This window comes from Homo sapiens, chromosome 10 (genome assembly GCF_000001405.40).
Source record: "Homo sapiens chromosome 10, GRCh38.p14 Primary Assembly".
Taxonomy (NCBI): domain Eukaryota; kingdom Metazoa; phylum Chordata; class Mammalia; order Primates; family Hominidae; genus Homo; species Homo sapiens.
In genome coordinates this window covers 58,495,932-58,512,645 of record NC_000010.11, presented here as the reverse complement: position 1 = coordinate 58,512,645, position 16,714 = coordinate 58,495,932, and the positions used below count along the sequence as shown (strand labels likewise).

The following is a 16,714-nucleotide window of genomic DNA, read 5'->3' as shown; positions in this document are numbered from 1 at the left end:
TCCTCAAACACACACACTCCTGAACGCACATGGAGTATCCACGTAATTCCTGTCTACACACACACATCACACACACTACTACTTTTCTGCACTTACACATACAAATCTCTTCCCCCTACATGCTCTCATAATCCTCCAAACACACAAACACAAACACGCCAAGTTCAAGCACAGCAGAGTCCTGAACGCACACTAAGCGCATACACAATTCCGCTGTTTACATACATACCCTACACCCTGAAACTCACAGCCCCAGTTGGTTCCACAAGCTCGAACGTGAGGAAGAGGAAAAAGAAGGCTTGGAGAAGAAATCATGCCCGTCTTTCGCAGGCATCGCCATGGACGTGGCTCGCATGTAGTTCATACCTCCAGGAAGGGCTCAAACCCAGACACCTCGTCTCCTCCCAGCAAAGTGGCCCGCTGCACGAGAGGTGGACAAGAGGCTTACTCTTTTTATTCTGAGAAAGGGAATTTTTTTTTTTCTTGAATGGAGTAAGGAAGGAATTGTTTTCTCTGTGATTCTCAAGGAATGGACTCAGCAGACTTTTTTTTTTTTTTAAGTAGAAAAGGGGCTCGGAGATCGCTGTGTTGGCGAGCTGGATCCAGCTGGCACGTGGGCAGGGCTGTCTTGTCAGGGACTGAGGGCTTTTCTCTGTTTTCAAGGTCAGTCTCTGACAGATGACGGCCAGTAACCTCTGAGCCTCACTGCCGAGGGCCAGCCCACCCACGGCCTCTGTCAAGCTTGGATATGAAGCGCGGGGGAAGAGGAGACTCGCTCGTACTGGGTGTGCCCTTGGAACTCTGTTTTCCCAGTTCACACAGATTCATAGCCTATTATTTTATGACCCAAAGTACAAAGACTTGCGGGGAGGAATGATGGGGATAGCAGTTTGTCACTGCGCCACAGAAGGAGGCTGCCTGGCTCACATGTAGGAAGAGCCATATCACTGGCACAGGCCTCTGGATAATCATGGAATATGCTGAAGGTAAATCAAAATTATTTCAGGTTCAGCTGCCTAGTTAACAGGAATTGACCCTGTGATGGGTACAGATGAGGAAACTGAGACCGTGGGAAATAAAGTAACTTGACTAAGGTTGTCCAGCAGCAGATAATACAGCCAATTAATCAGACCCAGGTCTGTGGGTCTTTATATAAAGTCTTACCTTTTTGAGCGGAGACCCCTCCTGCCCAGAGTCACCTCCTGAAGAACTGAGAGCATCTGCACACTTAACTGCTCTGATTCACCACCATGTGTTCCTTTTATAAACTTGTTAATTACTGTTAATTTCTATCCAAGGCACTAGTTTCAGCACCCAAAGGGTTTATGTAGGAGCATTCCCACTGTTTTCCATCAGGGACATTTACTGTGTTTTTCTATCAACAAATATTTATTGGGACCCTACTATGTACTTGGCACTGTTAAGCCCAAGGAATAGTAAGCAAAGACAGACACATCCCTGTACTCCCTCCTGGAGCTGAAATTCTAATGAGAAGGAATACTGACCAAAAAATAAATCACAAATATAAAATCATGCCCGCAGTAAGCATTACAAACAAGAGACTCAAGATATGAGAAAACCTATGATAGAGTAATTGGATTCAGTCAGAGAGGTCAGTGAAGGCTTCTCGAAACAGTGACTCTAACTCAGAACAGACGTTGGAAGAGAAGTTAACTAGGCAAGGGAAGGAAGAGCCATCCCTGCAAATGATCATCTGATCATAGTAACATCCCTGAAGGTAGATACTACAATTATCCTCATTTTAGAGTTGAGGAAACTGAGGCACAAAAGGTAAAATGACTTGCTCAAGGTTGCACGACTAAGTTGAAGAATAAGAATTTGAACCCAGGCAGTCTCTTGAAAATTAGGCTTCAGGTGCTTTATGCTTAGCCAATAAGTTATATTGGCTCTCAATAAGATTAGCACAAGTAAAGACACTGTAGCAGAAGGGGGCAGTATGCATTCCCCCATTGGATGAACTAAAAGAAGGCCAGCGTAGCTGGTACAAGGAAACAAGGAATTAGGACTCACTGGGGCAGGAGTTATAAGTAAGAGGGGGCATATGTAAGCAGCATAGGTCAAATTAAGGAGTTTTTGTCTTTATCCTTAGAATAAAAGGAAATCATATAGAGGCTGTAAGTAAAGAAAGATGTGCTTAGATTTGCATTTTCAAAAGTTGACTATGGCTCTAGTGTGGAGAACAGACTGAGGGACAAGGATAGATAGAAGCAGTTGGACCAATTAAGAGACTATATGGGAAGTTTAGATAATAAATGCTGCTAGCTTACATAGGTGGTGAAGATGAGAGACATGAGAGGATTTGAGAAATATTTAAACAGTAAGTATCACCAAGTAGATTGGTGATGAATTAGAAATAGTGTGATGGGAAGAGAAATGTTGAGAATATCTCCAGGGTTCTGGCTAACATAATAAGAGAGAGATAGGTGTCATTAACTGAAACTGGGAATATTGAAAGAAAATCACAATGGAAGAAAGTTCATGAAGTTGAATTCGGCATTTTGAGTTTGAAATGATGTTGAGATCTCCAAGAAGAGATGTTGTGTTAGCAATTGAATAGGTCTGGAATTCAGTAAAGGAATCTTGGCTAGAGATTAAAATGTGTTACTTGTTTATAGGTAACAATTCTAGCCATCTACCTGGGTCAGACTGTCTAGGGAAAAAGAAGAGACTTAGAAGAAAAGGGAACCAAGGAATGTGACTTTTTAAAATTCTGACAGTGGTCAAGTAGAGGACAGTGTAATGTGAAAGGATATAGAAGCAGCAGTGAAAGAAGAATGAAGAAACAAAGCTGTGTCATGTAAACTCAGAAAAAGACTATTACAAAAAGGAAAGTGTGATCATCTTTGTTTACTAAGGGAAGTCAACATTTTTTTTATGAGATTGCTGAGACCTTGGCAAGAAAGCCATAATGGAGTGGTTGAGGACTGGGTATAGCTAATGAAATGAGAAGTAACAACAACTCTTTGGAAAAGGTTTGGCTGAGAAAGGGAGGAAGGAGCAATAGCTGAAGGATAAAGTGGGCATTGGTTGTTTGGTAGTTTGGTTGGTTAGATGGTTGATTTAATGGTTTGCCAGGTTTGAGCATGTTTAAAAGTGACTGGAAAAGATTCAGGTGGCAGAAATTGAGTATTCAACAAAAAGGAGAAGAATTAATATTATCAGGTTTTGAGAGCATGAACAGAATAGATTACAAGAGATAATAAGAGGACAAATAGCTCATCAGAAAGTAAACAAGATAGGTACAAATATAGGTCAGTTTGTAGGTTGCATTTTTACAACAGGAAGGAATTCCCATATGATGGATTGTATTTTCCCAAAAGAGTAAAAGTCAAGGTTATCTATGAAGAGTAGGAGGGAAAGAGAGCAGTCATAGGTTTGAAGAGAGTAGGGTTTGCTTTTGGTAGTTGAGAGGTTTTTATATAGCCTTTGCATCTGTAAAAGGATGAGTTGGCACTGTTGAGAGGCCAGTTGATGTTGGTAATCATAACTTTATAAAATTATAATTATAATCATAAATTTATAATTTGTCCTATGACTTTCTCCAACAGTACTCAGCTTCTTGAATGCAGGCACAGAGAAAACACAGGACTCCTGCCAAATGAATGCAGCATCAAGAGCCAAATGGCAATGCAGCAATGCCCAGTGGAAAATAATTTCCATGGTAGAAGTTTATACCCCGCAAAACTATCAACCAAACATAAGGCTAAAATCCATTCTCAAAAAAAAAAAAAAGTTTTATTTATTTATGCCCTGTCTGAGGTAGCTACTGAAGATTGCTTGCCACCGAAACAAGATTAAATCAAGATAAGGAGAAAATGTAGAATATAGAAAACAAGCAAGCTAGCACATGATAGAGGCAAAAGAGTTCCTCAAGATGATAATGAAAAGAGAACTCAAATTGGAGTAGGTCAGAAAACTCAGGGTTGAGATTTCTTCTAGATTAAATGGAATTCTTGGAATGGAAGAACATAGAGGATACTGAGACAGCTCATGAAGACTCTGTGGTTAAATTAGTAATCAGTTCATAGAAAACTGTGGTACCAAAAAGAAGACAATTATTAACTCCAAGTATAACAAAACATGCAGAAAAATTCAGAATAATCAGAGTATGCAACGTGGCTGAGTCGTAACTAGCATTTGTTTAGTTGTAATAATGTAAACCATGCATATTGATCTAACCTAAATTATGACATATCTGGAATAGGAATTTGAGGGATTGGGAAATGTGCCTGTGTGTAGTGGAGGCTTTGTGTAAGGGGAGGAAGTGGTGAAAAAAAATGAACCTCATCTGCTTTAAGGAAACATCAATAGATAATAGCTAAAATGTTTCAAAAATCAGGAGGAAGAAATGTAAGCATATTATTTGGAGACACAGTGGCAAAAGTAATATCAAGCTAAACGTTTTGGAAGTCATTGCTGTAGGAAATGGGAAATGGGGGGAAGGCATACAGTACTTCTGGTTTTTATACAAGTCTTCTAGAACAATTTGATGGGTGTATAACTTTAATTTTGGAAATGCAAATGAAGTAATACATGCTTATTACACCATTATTAATAATGATAAATATCATTATCATTAATGAATAATAAATAAATAGCAGAACCTTGAATTCATGACTTCTGAGTCAGGTGCTCTTTCTACAAAAATCAAACCAGAATTAGAATATTTACCAATCTTTTTGTTTTTATAGAGCATACATATATATATCTGTTTGTCTTTATCTTTCCACTTCATTCAAGAAAATAATACTTTTCAATCCATTCGAAGTCTAGGAACAGATCAGATGCCAAGTAATCAATTGTATAGATTTTCTTTAATGGAGTAAGGCTCTCAAACAAAAAAATCACTGAGAAAATTTAAATAACTAAGATCACAGCAAATCTTCAAGTTCACAAAATATGAAAACCCAAAAGAGATTTTTAGCAAAACAAGATTAGTTATCTGACATCTACCTTAGATGTCTAACCTTAATCAGTGGTCATCTGACAGAAAAACTCCTCAGGATACACTTCAAAGCAAGATGGTTTGGTGTTCTTTCCCAAGCACTCTTCATTTCCCTGAATTTGTTTCTTCCAAGGCTACCTACAAAAATATTGATCTTGAATTTTTGTATTTTTGTAATACTTTCAGAAGCTTATATTAAAACTGCTTTTCTATTTGAATTTAAAACCTTAACATTACAATTATGTTTGAAAAATCTCAACATATGTCCAGATATTAATCAATTAAATGGCTTACAAAGCTCTCAGGCCCATTTGTCTCTCCCACCTCCTCTTTTTGCATTTCATATTTCAACAGTTCCAAACTATTTGTAATTTCTGGTCTAGTCCTGTCTTTTCATCTTGAGCTCTTTGCACACAGTATTCCTCCAGCTTGGAATATTCTCTCTCATTTTTTCCCCTAGCCTTCACAAACACCCAGCCACCAGGCTGATTTAGGTTCTCTAGATCTTTTGTCTCCAGTGAATATTGTACTTATTCCTATTAAAGCAATTATCTTTACATTTATTATCTCTGTCATTATCATCATCCTCATCCTTATCATTATCATCATTCTATGTCTGATGTCCCAGTTCCTGAAGGCAGGAAGCATGGCTTTTCATTACTGTGTCTCTAGCACCCAGCAGTTGCCTAGTATATGTTGACAAGCTTTTAACTGTGCACCTGGAAACATTAGAAATTAATTTGTGATACATTATAATTGGGATGATTAGATAACCATATACTAACTTAGTTGAGGAAGAACAGGAAAAGAAGAGTTAAAACTCCAATATTATAATTAAAAGCAGCTGATAGGTAAGAACATTTTCTCCTCAGTTTGCAGCTAAGTAAACAGGTCCAGAGAAATGAGACAAATTGATTAGAGTGCCACAGTACTTGAAATAAACTTTGAATCATCAACGTTGAATCTGCAGTTATTGGTCCAGTTCCTTGACTTACACAGATCGGGAAACTGAGACCCAAAGACCGAAATAAAAAATAAAATCTTGCAAATATAAGCTTAAAATTTATGAAAAAGCTGATATTCAGCACAGTATCACCCACAGAAACAATTCATTTCATCTCAACTTTATTTTTTTCATTTTAACTTTTAACTGAAGGTTTCTGGGAAGAAATCTACATAGCCATGATATGATGCAGTATGTTTTGGATATCACTTTACTCTTAAGTGAATACTCTAAAATCATATAAATAAATTTTCCCTGCAATGTCAAGTTAAAACAGAAGCAAAATATAAGATATTCTATTTTAATGACCTTGGAGTTTGTTCTAGAAGAAGGCTTATTTGAAATAAGCATAAGTCAAATTAATAAAGGAAGGTGAACCTACCATGTGTAATTCAAGCATTTCTTCAGACTAATAATAAGGACTAACACTTACTGAGCATTTATAATTTGCTGGACACTATGAGTTGTCTCATTTGGTTGTCACCACAATCTTTTGAAGTTGGTACAACTCTTGTCTCCATTTTAGAGAAGAGAAGAGCTAAGGCCTTGAGAGGATAACTTGCCTGAAGACCTGCAGTATGGTAATGGTTCTAAGTCAAACACAGAGACATCTGAAAGAGACAACATTCTTTTTTTTTATATTATACTTTAAGTTTTAGGGTACATGTGCACAACGTGAAGGTTTGTTACATATGTATACATGTGCCATGTTGGTGTGCTGCACCCATTAACTCATCATTTAGCATTAGGTATATCTCCTAATGCTATCCCTCCCCCCTCCGAAGCTGGAAACCATCATTCTCAGCAAACTATCACAAGGACAAAAAACCAAACACCACATGTTCTCACTCATAGGTGGGAACTGAACAATGAGAACACATGCACACAGGAAGAGACAACATTCGTAAACCTGGAACCATCTGATTACATGTAGGTAGTGTAAAATGTTAGAGGTAGAAGGAACCTAAGGCTCATGGATTCACGTAGTTTTCACATTTAAAAAATAGAAACTGTCTTTCAAATTAACTCTAATGCAGAAAGCCGTTACACAAAACTAGTAACAGTGGCTCTGGTTGAAGAAGGATGGGGAATTCTCACTAGCTCATCTTCTCCTTCCCATAATCTCAGGGTTTCAAAGGGGCTCAAACTGCTGATCTCATTCCACTCTCTTTCTCTTTCTCTTTCTCTCTTTCTCTCTCTCTCTGTCTGTCACACACACACACACACACACACACACACACAGACACACACACACATATATTTATCCCTGGGTACAAATGAGGCATATAGAGACAGTGACTTATTCAAATTACACAGCTCAAAGCATCAAGTCATGTTCAGGTTTGTGTTGCTTTCCCATTAAAAGAGGAGGGGTTTTGTGTTTTCCAGAAGGCAAGGGCAAGAAAATTTAGATAACAGAGGGGGTTCTTGAATTCTCTTACTATTTCAATAAAATAAGCTTCTGATTAAAAATATTGTGAAAAGTGAAACATTTTCATTGAGGTCTTCAGCACTTCAATGCTGAAAAGTAATAATAGAGGAATATTTGGGTCATCTAAAAGAAAATAAAATGGATGAATATGGAAGAAGAAAGTTGAAAAGCAGGCAGAAGAATAAAAGAAGGAAATGAACACTTTCCAGTCACTTATTTGAATTCTAACATTGCCTAACATAGAACTCTGCCAAAAAGAGGGTTAAAAGACAACAATACTACAATGTTGAAATTACCACCCATGGAGATATTTGAGCCCCCCACCCCCCCATAGCTCTTTCAGTTGTCCAGATTTCAAGGTACATGTTAATTGTGCTTTTGATCTACAGCAGCAGCATTTTACCCTGTCTTTTACTTCTGGACTAACACTCACATGTAAATTTATTCTCATGACCCCCTGGGACTGAGAAAGATGGAATGTTTTTGTAAAAGACAACAGAGTAAGCATGTGCAAAGTTGTACCTCCCTGCATTATTTATTTATTTATTTATTTGATGTACTGACAGTCTGCTGGCAATGTGATTTTTGGGTCTAGCCAGAAACAAAGACTACAAAGCCATACAAGCATCCAACCCACAAGGATTTGAGAACTGGCTCTGTTTCTAACACCACACTCAGTTACAAGGTAAATTCCACCAATGCCACTTGTGTGCTAAATCTCACATCAAATGAGAAAAAGATTCCAGAAATTAGGGCCAAGGGAGCCTTGAGAGTGAGCCTTCCTGGGCAACTTGTGTGGGAAGAATGGGTCATAACAGGAAGAGAGTGGGTCATCAAAGGAAGGAGTCGGACCAAAATCCACAGAAATCCCAGTGGGCAAATATATGGCATGCACTCCACCACACCCCCAACCTCCTCTTATGGCTGACATTACTAGCTGATCACAGCTCTCTTCCACTCCAGCTCAGGAAATGCTTCTCAATAAGCAGTCCAAACAGCCAAAACAAATCATTTGGAGTTGGCTCTCAATATGAAACTTCATTGCCATGTTGGATCCTGAGCTGTGGTTAAGGGACTGGAAGATGAACAGTCATTCAACTGGACACAGGCTGTTGACCCTTCTTTTCAGGGCAGGTGAGCCTCAGAGCAAAGGAAATAAATATCCTGGTCAGCTGTTCCCTTCAAGATTCTTATGTTTTTGTACAGCTAAAATGAATAGGAATCAAATTGAAGCTACTCCAGGTCCACAATGTGGTAGTGAGCTAGGGCCATGTAGAGCTGTCAATCGGTTCTAAACTGGATATTAGAAGACCTGAATTTTAATCTTCATTCTTTCACTAATTGTGTAACTTTAGACCAGGCTCTTAATTTTGTTGGGTCTAATTTCCCATCTGTAAAAATTGGGAAAAGGTTGATTTGGACTATGTGAATTTTTAAGTTCCTTCTAACCCTAAATTTCCATGACTCAAAGAAATTGCCTACTTGGAAAATAATACCTCATTTCAGCAACAGGTTGTTTCTGGTTAGAAAAGGTTCTTTCAAAGAAGAACAAATAGAATCAAAGAAGAACTGAAAGACTATCAAATTCAACGTGGTGGAAATAGTAGCTTATAAAAGTGCAGGCTAATCAAAGTCTTCATTGCACAGAGATAAAGAATACAGACCCTGGAATCAGATCCCCTGAGTTCCAGGCCAACTGAGCCACTTTATTTATATGATCTGTGTATTTGTTATCTCTTTCCCCATAACAAATTACCTGCAAGAATTCACAGTTTAAAATGACAAACATTTATTATCTGTGGGGTTTTATGGGTCAGGAATACAGGTACAGCTTAGCTGGGTGCCACTGGCTCAAGATCTCTAACAAGACTACAATCAAGGTGTCATATTGAATAAGAGCTGTGATCTTATTCAAAGACTCAGCTGAGAGAGGGTCCATTTTCAAGCCACTTGCTTGGTTGCTGGTAGGATTCAGTTCCTTATAGGCTCTTGGACTGAAAGCCTCAGTACCTTGCTGACTGTTGGCCGAAAGCCTCCTTCAATTCCTTCTACCTGAGTCTCTCCATAGAGCAACACACAGCATAGCAGCTGGCTTCCATCAGAGTGAGCTGGCAAGAAAGCAAGAGAGAGTGAGTACCCAACTTGCATTCTTTTTGTGAACTAATCTCAGAAGTGACATAACATACACTTTCCATACTCTACTCATTAGAAGTAAGTAACTGGGTACAGCCCACACTGGAGGGGAAGGGATTACACAAGGCTGTGAATACAAGGAGGCAAGAATTATTGGTGCCATTTTAGAATCTGCTTACTCCAAACTGGAACCAATTATTTTACTTCTCTAAACCTCAGTTTATTTTTAAATGGGTATAAAATAGCTATATCCAAAAGTTCTTGTAAAGATTAACGAACATTTTATGAAACATTTAATCCATTCAGCACTCAACAATGGTTATTGAAGCAAGCACTCAATAATGGTTATTATTTTTAATAACTGTTTTGTGCTTAACTAGAAAAATTAAGAAATCTGCTCGAGGAAAGAAGACATATTCATATACCTAAAAAGAAAAATAATGGAAGGTGGCGGTAGGTTTGGCAGTGTATTTTATGAAAATCCCTGAATCCTGGCCCATTCTCTCAAAAAAACAGACAGAACGATTATTAGGTTGATGTAAAAATAATTGCAGTTTTTGACACTTACTTTTAATGGCAAAAACAGCAATTACTTTTGTACCAACCTAATAGATTGCAAAACCAAAAACACATAGACAATATACATAAGAAAATTAGACAACTAGGTATCTGTACAAATTCCGGAATAGAAGCTAGTGGTGACAGCATCCAGGAGAATCCCAAATTTGCCATCAGATATTCATTGGAAAGCACAAAAAACTAATCTGACAACAGCGGCTGAAAATAGGTGGGAGTCCTGCAGGACCCAATTTGTAGGTAAGTGCAGTGGTTGACAATAAGTTCTGACTGTTGTTGCTGAAACAATCTGGACCCTGTGAACACTCAAAACTAAAAGGCCAAAGCTCTCTTCTGGGTCAAATCTTTATTGAGGAGAAACTTCTGGCAATAGGATAAAATCAAGGAGGATAAAGAAATAGGGGCAAAAGTAGGAGAAGGTCAAGACACAAGAGGAAGAAGGGGAGAAGCAAATCTTAGAAGCATAGGCCCATCTTGTTTTATTTCTTTGGTAAAGAAATCTACTTTTACTTAAAAATGAGCAACAGAAATGGATTGAGGTTGAATTATGAAAAAAAGGGAACAAGAAATTGAATAATGGAGGAGATATCCCTAGAGAGAATAAAAACATGACAGAAAGGCATGCCCTCCAAACAGATTAAAATTGTAACTTAAATTTCCAAACAAATAAAAAGACATTTTTTAATGATAGAAGCTATAAAAGAATAAATAAGTCAGGATTGGATAGTCTGATCTGAGTGGAAAGTATGAAGATTTGAAAGAAAGGATAAAGAATTCTTTCTCAGGAAAGAATTAAACTAGTTTAAATTAATAAATTAACACTAAATTGGAAGAAACAAAAGAGCAAATAAACACAATGGATACTGTCTTAAGTAAAAGATGGAAAGAGGAAAAATATTTTCAATGAAAAGGAAATTAAAGATTTTTTTAAAAGATTTGAGAGAAAATAGTAGATACAGAACATGGGAGTGGGGATGCTTCTGTATAATGGTAGTCCCTGACAAAGAAAATCAAAGCAATGGGACAGAGCAAACACTAAAAACTGTAACTTAAGAAAAATTTCTATTCAGGAGGCTGAGGTGTGATGATCACTTAAGCCCAGGAGGCTGAGACTGCAGTGAGCTCTGATCGTGCCGTTGCACTCCAGCCTGGGTGACAGAGTGAGACCCTGTCTCACCAAAAAAAAAGAACAAAACTTTAATGAAATAAAAGATGACATAAATCTATATACTAGGAAAATCAACCCAGAATAGCCAACCCTGAATCATGTTCCAGTCAAAAGTATTGTATTTTAAATAAAAAGAGGACTTATTTGGGCTACCAGGCAAGAAGATCAACTCACTTATAAGGAAAAATAATAAGACTGTCATTAGCTTTTCAGCAGCAAAACTTATGCCAGAAGACACAGAAATAATACACTTAAGTTATTCGAGAGGAAGAAAACTAAGATGTGCAAGAAAGAAAATAGGAAAACAAAATTTACAAAAATTAGCTGGGCATAGTGGTGCATGCCTGTAACCCCAGCTACTCAGGAGGCTGAGGCACAAGAATCACTTGAACCTGGAAGGTGGAGGTTGCAGTGAGCCAAGACTGCACCACTGCACTTCAGCCTGGGTGACAGAGCGAGACCCTGTCTCCATAAAAAAAAGAAAAGAAAAGAAAAAAGTTTTAATTTTGATGATATCCAGTTTATCTGTTTGTTTTGTTGCTTGTCCTTTTGGTGTCATATCTGAGCCCATTGTAAAACCTACGTTTATGAAGATTTACCTCCTGTGTTTTCTTCTAAGTATAGTTTTAGCTCTTTGATGGATGTCTGTAATGCATTTCAAGTTAATGTTTGTGTATGGTGTGAGATAGGTGTCCAGCTTCATTCTTTCATTTGTGGATATCTGTTGTCCTAGCACCATTTGTTGAAAAGATTATTCTTTACTGAATTATCCTGACACCCTTGTGAAAAATCAATTGATCACAGATATATGTGTTTACATCTGAAGTCTCAATTCCATTACATTGATTTATATGTCATCTTTATTGCCAGTATCACACTGTCTCAATTCCTGTAGTTTGTAGTAAGTTTTGTAATTGGAAATATGAGATCTCCAACTTTTTTTGAAGTTATTTTGGCTATTCTGGATCTCTTTTATTTTCATATGAATTTTAGGATCAGCTTATCAATGTCTTTAAAGAACCCAGCTGGGTTTTGATAGGGATTATGTTGGATCTGTAGTTAAAGTTGGTGCTTTTGTATACTAGCTTCTAGTATTCTGTGTCATCAACGGCATCTTCATATTAACTTGCATATGGCAGATTATAAATTTTCTCTGTACAAAATATTGAAGCATGATTGCGGGCTAACCTACCAGTGAGAGGGGCTATTATGCAACTAATAGTATTTCATATTTGTTGAAAGGCAGGAGAAACAGCACATTCAATTACCTCATGTTGGGATGGAGAGAATTAGGTTGATTCAAGAGATATTTAAGAGGTTGACTCCACAGGACTTGATAATTGATAGAGTGTGAGAGACAAGGCAGAAAAAGATAGAAAAGATTATGTTTACATTTCTTTGAGCAGCCAAGATGGGGAATGTTGAAGAAGGAGCTGAATTCCTTCGAGTTGATCATTTCTCTGCCTATACCTGTAGATTTCTGGTCCCTCTAGGCTATTGTATCCAGGGCTCAAGAGGTAGGACAAGGCCAAGATTTAGGATGCAGGCATGTACACAAAAATATGTTAAAGCTGGAAGAGTTGATAGAGTTACTACATTAGGAATAGCCAAGGTTTCATTTGTGTAGAGACAAACATAAGAGCTCTGAATGCATCCACAGAAATCAGAGCTTACATCCAAGGACATCAATGCTACGGGAGAGAAGGATGAAACATCAGTACTGTGAGGATAGACAACCTGAGATATCAATGAGGGCAGAAGTTAGGCTGGGGTCTCCAGAATCAGATGTTCAACTGACAGCAAGTGTGAAGGAGGACTTTGTCAGGGAGAACTGGGATCAGTTTTCAGAACCAGGAGAGTAGAATACATAACGTCATCTACCTGGCATCTGAAGTTAATCAAAACTAGTGTTTATCAAAGAAAGTTAAAAAAAGAATCATCTGCAAAACATGTAAAATGGAAATTCCTGGATATCTCTTTCAGCAGGTCAACAAGAAGCTCAAGTGATTCTGCCACAAATGGAATATTGATCGTAATTTAAGAAACACTGATGAAACTATCAAAAAGACCAATTTCATGATGAATCAGCAGGCTACTAGGAAATATGTCCTCTGTTGACGTCTAGGACAAATCTTAATGAATGAATGGAGACTGGGGTTATCTACCAGGAGGAGAGCTGTTACCGGAAAGAGGGGTCTTGATCCAGACCCCAAGAGAGGCTTGAATCTTGCACAGGAAAGAATTCAAGGCAAATGGCAAAGTGCAGTGAGAAAGGATATTTATTGAAAGCTACTTAATTACAGAGTAGGGCGTCCTCAGAAAGCAAGAGGAGGAATGGACTGTCTTTAAGTTTTTCTTATATAGGGATCTTGTCTATGTAAAGACTAAACTAAGCTGTGCCTGCAGGTGGATGGACAGATAGCATGACAAAATTTAGTACTTTATCAATTTAAAGAAATCTATCCTTGACATCTTAGTGTGTAAGTACATCAAAGCATAACTATAATTATCTTGAAAGCATATATTATTATGGGTGTTGGGACACCTGGACTTTCTGTTGTAGAAATTTCTCCTTGCCGGTGTCTTTCAACTCTCTCCTTAGCTGTAAACATAGTCATGACCTAGTCAGGACTATTGATCAAGACCAGGAAGGAATATGCCTTGTCAGTATTAAGATGAAGTTGATTTTAAAATGGTGTCACTCTGGATCTCCTAGACTCCTGCTTCCCTAACACAGTCACACGAGATAAACCTTTGGCCAGTCACGTCCTGTCATCCTCTAAATCAGGGATTCTTGAACTGGTTAGAAGGGGGAAGGGCAGACAAGTTTGCTTCTCAGAAAAATTGGCATTATTCTGATAAATATATGATTGTCATGACTGGGGAGGGTACTACTGGCATCTAGTAGGTAGAGGACAAGGATGCTGCTACACATACAATGTGCAGAGTCACCCCCATAGCAAAGAATTGTCCAGTCCCAAACATCAGTCTTGCTGCTGTTGAGAATACCTGCTCTATATCCTGAACTAACATAGGATCTTGTAATAAAGAGAAGAGTAATTCCTTGCCAGATTGAAGAGACTGGCTAAGGTAGTTCTAACTCATTTTCTTTGGGGTTGCTACAGTCAGCAATATCCACACCACTACTGAAAATGTTTTGGAAAGAGAAGGATTAGTGAGAAGGGTATGCAATCAGACAGGAAAGCTCCAGGAACTCCCCTGAAGTCTTTTCCATGAAGACTGATCCATGACAACAGCTGTGTGCATGGTATTAGAAATCCCTGTGGAAAGTGACCAATAAAGAGATGTCGTATTTGTATAACAGTTTAGTTCACAAAGCACTCGTACATTGTTTAGCTTTTTCTTTGCCTTGGGAGGTAACCAGGTAGTATTAGTTTCCTGTGGCTGCTGTAACAAATAACCAGAAATTTGGTGACTTCAAACAACAGAAATTTATTTTTTAGCAGTTCTAAAGGTCAGAAGTCAGCTTGGTGCAGTGGCTCATGCCTATAATCCTAACACTTTGGGAGGCTGAAGCAGGAGGATCATTTGAGCCCAGGAAATTGACAACAGCCTAGGCAACATGGCAAGACTTTGTCTGTACTAAAAAATTAGCCAGGTATGGTTGTGCATGCCTGTAGTCCCAGCTACTTGGGAGACAGAGGCAGCCAGATCACTTGAGCCCAGGAGTTTGAGGCTACTATGATCATGCCACTGCACTCCAGGCTGGATGACAGAGCAAGACCCTGTCTACCAAATATCGTTTTAATTTTTTAAAAAAGCACATTTCCAGGACTCTTTTCAAACCACTTGAATCTGAGTCTTATGGTGGGAGATGGAAAGAAACTGTTGAGAATCTATATATTATCATGTTTTCCAGAAGGCCCAGCATTATTCAAAAATCACTATTCTAAATTCTTAGTCCAACATAACATATCTCAACATCTAGATATAATCCCTTTCTCTAAAGCCAGGTCTTGCTAGTTGGAGCTCAAGTTGTAATGGAATATAATTAGTACCTGTAATATGTCTTTCATTAAAATAATAAGGTATCAAATTACATACTTCTTTTTTATTAAAAAGGAAAATTAAATCCTTTGATATTTTCTTTTTGAAAATCAATAGGAAAACTCCAAGACCCATCTTTCAATACATGCTCAAGGAAATCGTTCAAAAATCCACACTACCCAAATCCAACATTATTTGTGATTGAATTTCTTCTTTAAATATCTTTCAGTTACTGCCACATTTTAATTCCTAGCTAAAATTCTACCAACAGTCACACAGTTCAATATTATCTGGTTACAGCGGGTACTTGGTGAAAACAAATGGAATCTGGATTTAAGTCCTATATTAAAATTGCTTTTGCATAGTATAATTTGCATTTTATAAGGCCAAAGGCAAAATGGCTAAAATAACATTCAACAGGAGCCTGTGATTGGCTAAACTGAAGAGGAAATGATACATTACAAAATCTCAAAGCCAGACATAAGCTTAGCCTGTCTTTGATTGTTTTTTTTTCAATGCCAAGAAATTGAGTACAGTAAATTGCTCAAACCAACAATATAAAAATTTGCTCTTCTTGGCAAAGATCTTCATATTTCTGAATGTTTTCTTCTTTCTTTTGGCTTTGATATCCAGTAGTTTTGTTCTTACTCTTAAATGGAGGCAATATCTATGACATTTCCACATACAATATCTGAACCTCAAAAAAAGGGAGGGTGTATTAGTCTGTTTTCACACTGCTGATTAAAACATACCCAAGACTGGGCACAAAAGAAAGAGGTTTAATTGGCATTAGAGTTCCACATGGCTGGGGAGGCCTCACAATCATGGCAGAAGGCAAGGAGGAGCAGGTCACATCTTATGTGGATGGCAGCAGGCAAAGAGAGAGCTTGTGCAGGGCAACTCCCATTTTTAAAACCATCAGATCTCATGAGACCCATTCACTATCACAAGAAAAGCATGGGAAAGACTCGCCCTCACAATTCAATCATCTCCCACCGGGTTCCTCCTACAATATGTGGGAATTATGGGAGTTACAAGGTGAGATTTGGGTGGGGACACAGAACCAAACCATATCAGAGGTAGTGGAAAGAAGAATCATCAGTGGAGGCTATTTATGTATGCATACTCCCTACTTGGTAGAAATTTTCTCATTTTTAAGACTCAACAAGATGCACTTCCTCAGTGGAGACTTTCCTACCAATTCCTATCTCAAAGGCATAATTAACCACTTCCCTAATGTATTAACGATATGTCTACCTGATTGTATCATGGCCCCTCTGACAATTTAGTTATTGTATACATACCCATCTTCATCTATCAGATCACACATCCCTTTAGAGCAAGGTCTATCCCATTTATCTTTATCTTTATATCCCCAGCACTTAACAAAGTTGGCACACTGAAGGCACTAAATAAAGTGAATGAATT

At 38.0% G+C, this 16,714-nt stretch overlaps 1 protein-coding gene and 2 long non-coding RNA genes across 9 annotated transcripts in view; 1 reads left to right on the top strand and 2 right to left on the bottom strand.

Annotated features, from left to right (window-relative positions):
• Window positions 1-426, bottom strand: part of BICC1 (BicC family RNA binding protein 1) — a 319,216-nt gene extending 318,790 nt beyond the window's left edge. Inside the window, exon 1 of one of the 2 annotated variants that reach the window (XM_047425780.1) lies at window positions 230-426. The gene's annotated coding sequence lies outside the window, so the exon portion shown is untranslated. The remainder of the gene's footprint in view (window positions 1-229) is intronic. The other variant, XM_047425781.1, reaches the window with a different exon arrangement.
• Window positions 594-4,635, top strand: LOC124902427 (uncharacterized). Its single transcript, XR_007062147.1, has 2 exons — window positions 594-986; window positions 3,570-4,635. It is a non-coding gene; the product is annotated as an uncharacterized LOC124902427 (long non-coding RNA).
• Window positions 4,636-9,166: 4,531 nt separating this feature from the next.
• Window positions 9,167-16,714, bottom strand: part of LOC105378316 (uncharacterized) — a 69,554-nt gene continuing 62,006 nt past the window's right edge. For all 6 annotated transcript variants that reach the window (XR_945981.3, XR_945983.3, XR_945982.3 and 3 more), the window contains one exon: window positions 9,167-9,509. This is a non-coding gene — a long non-coding RNA (uncharacterized LOC105378316). The remainder of the gene's footprint in view (window positions 9,510-16,714) is intronic.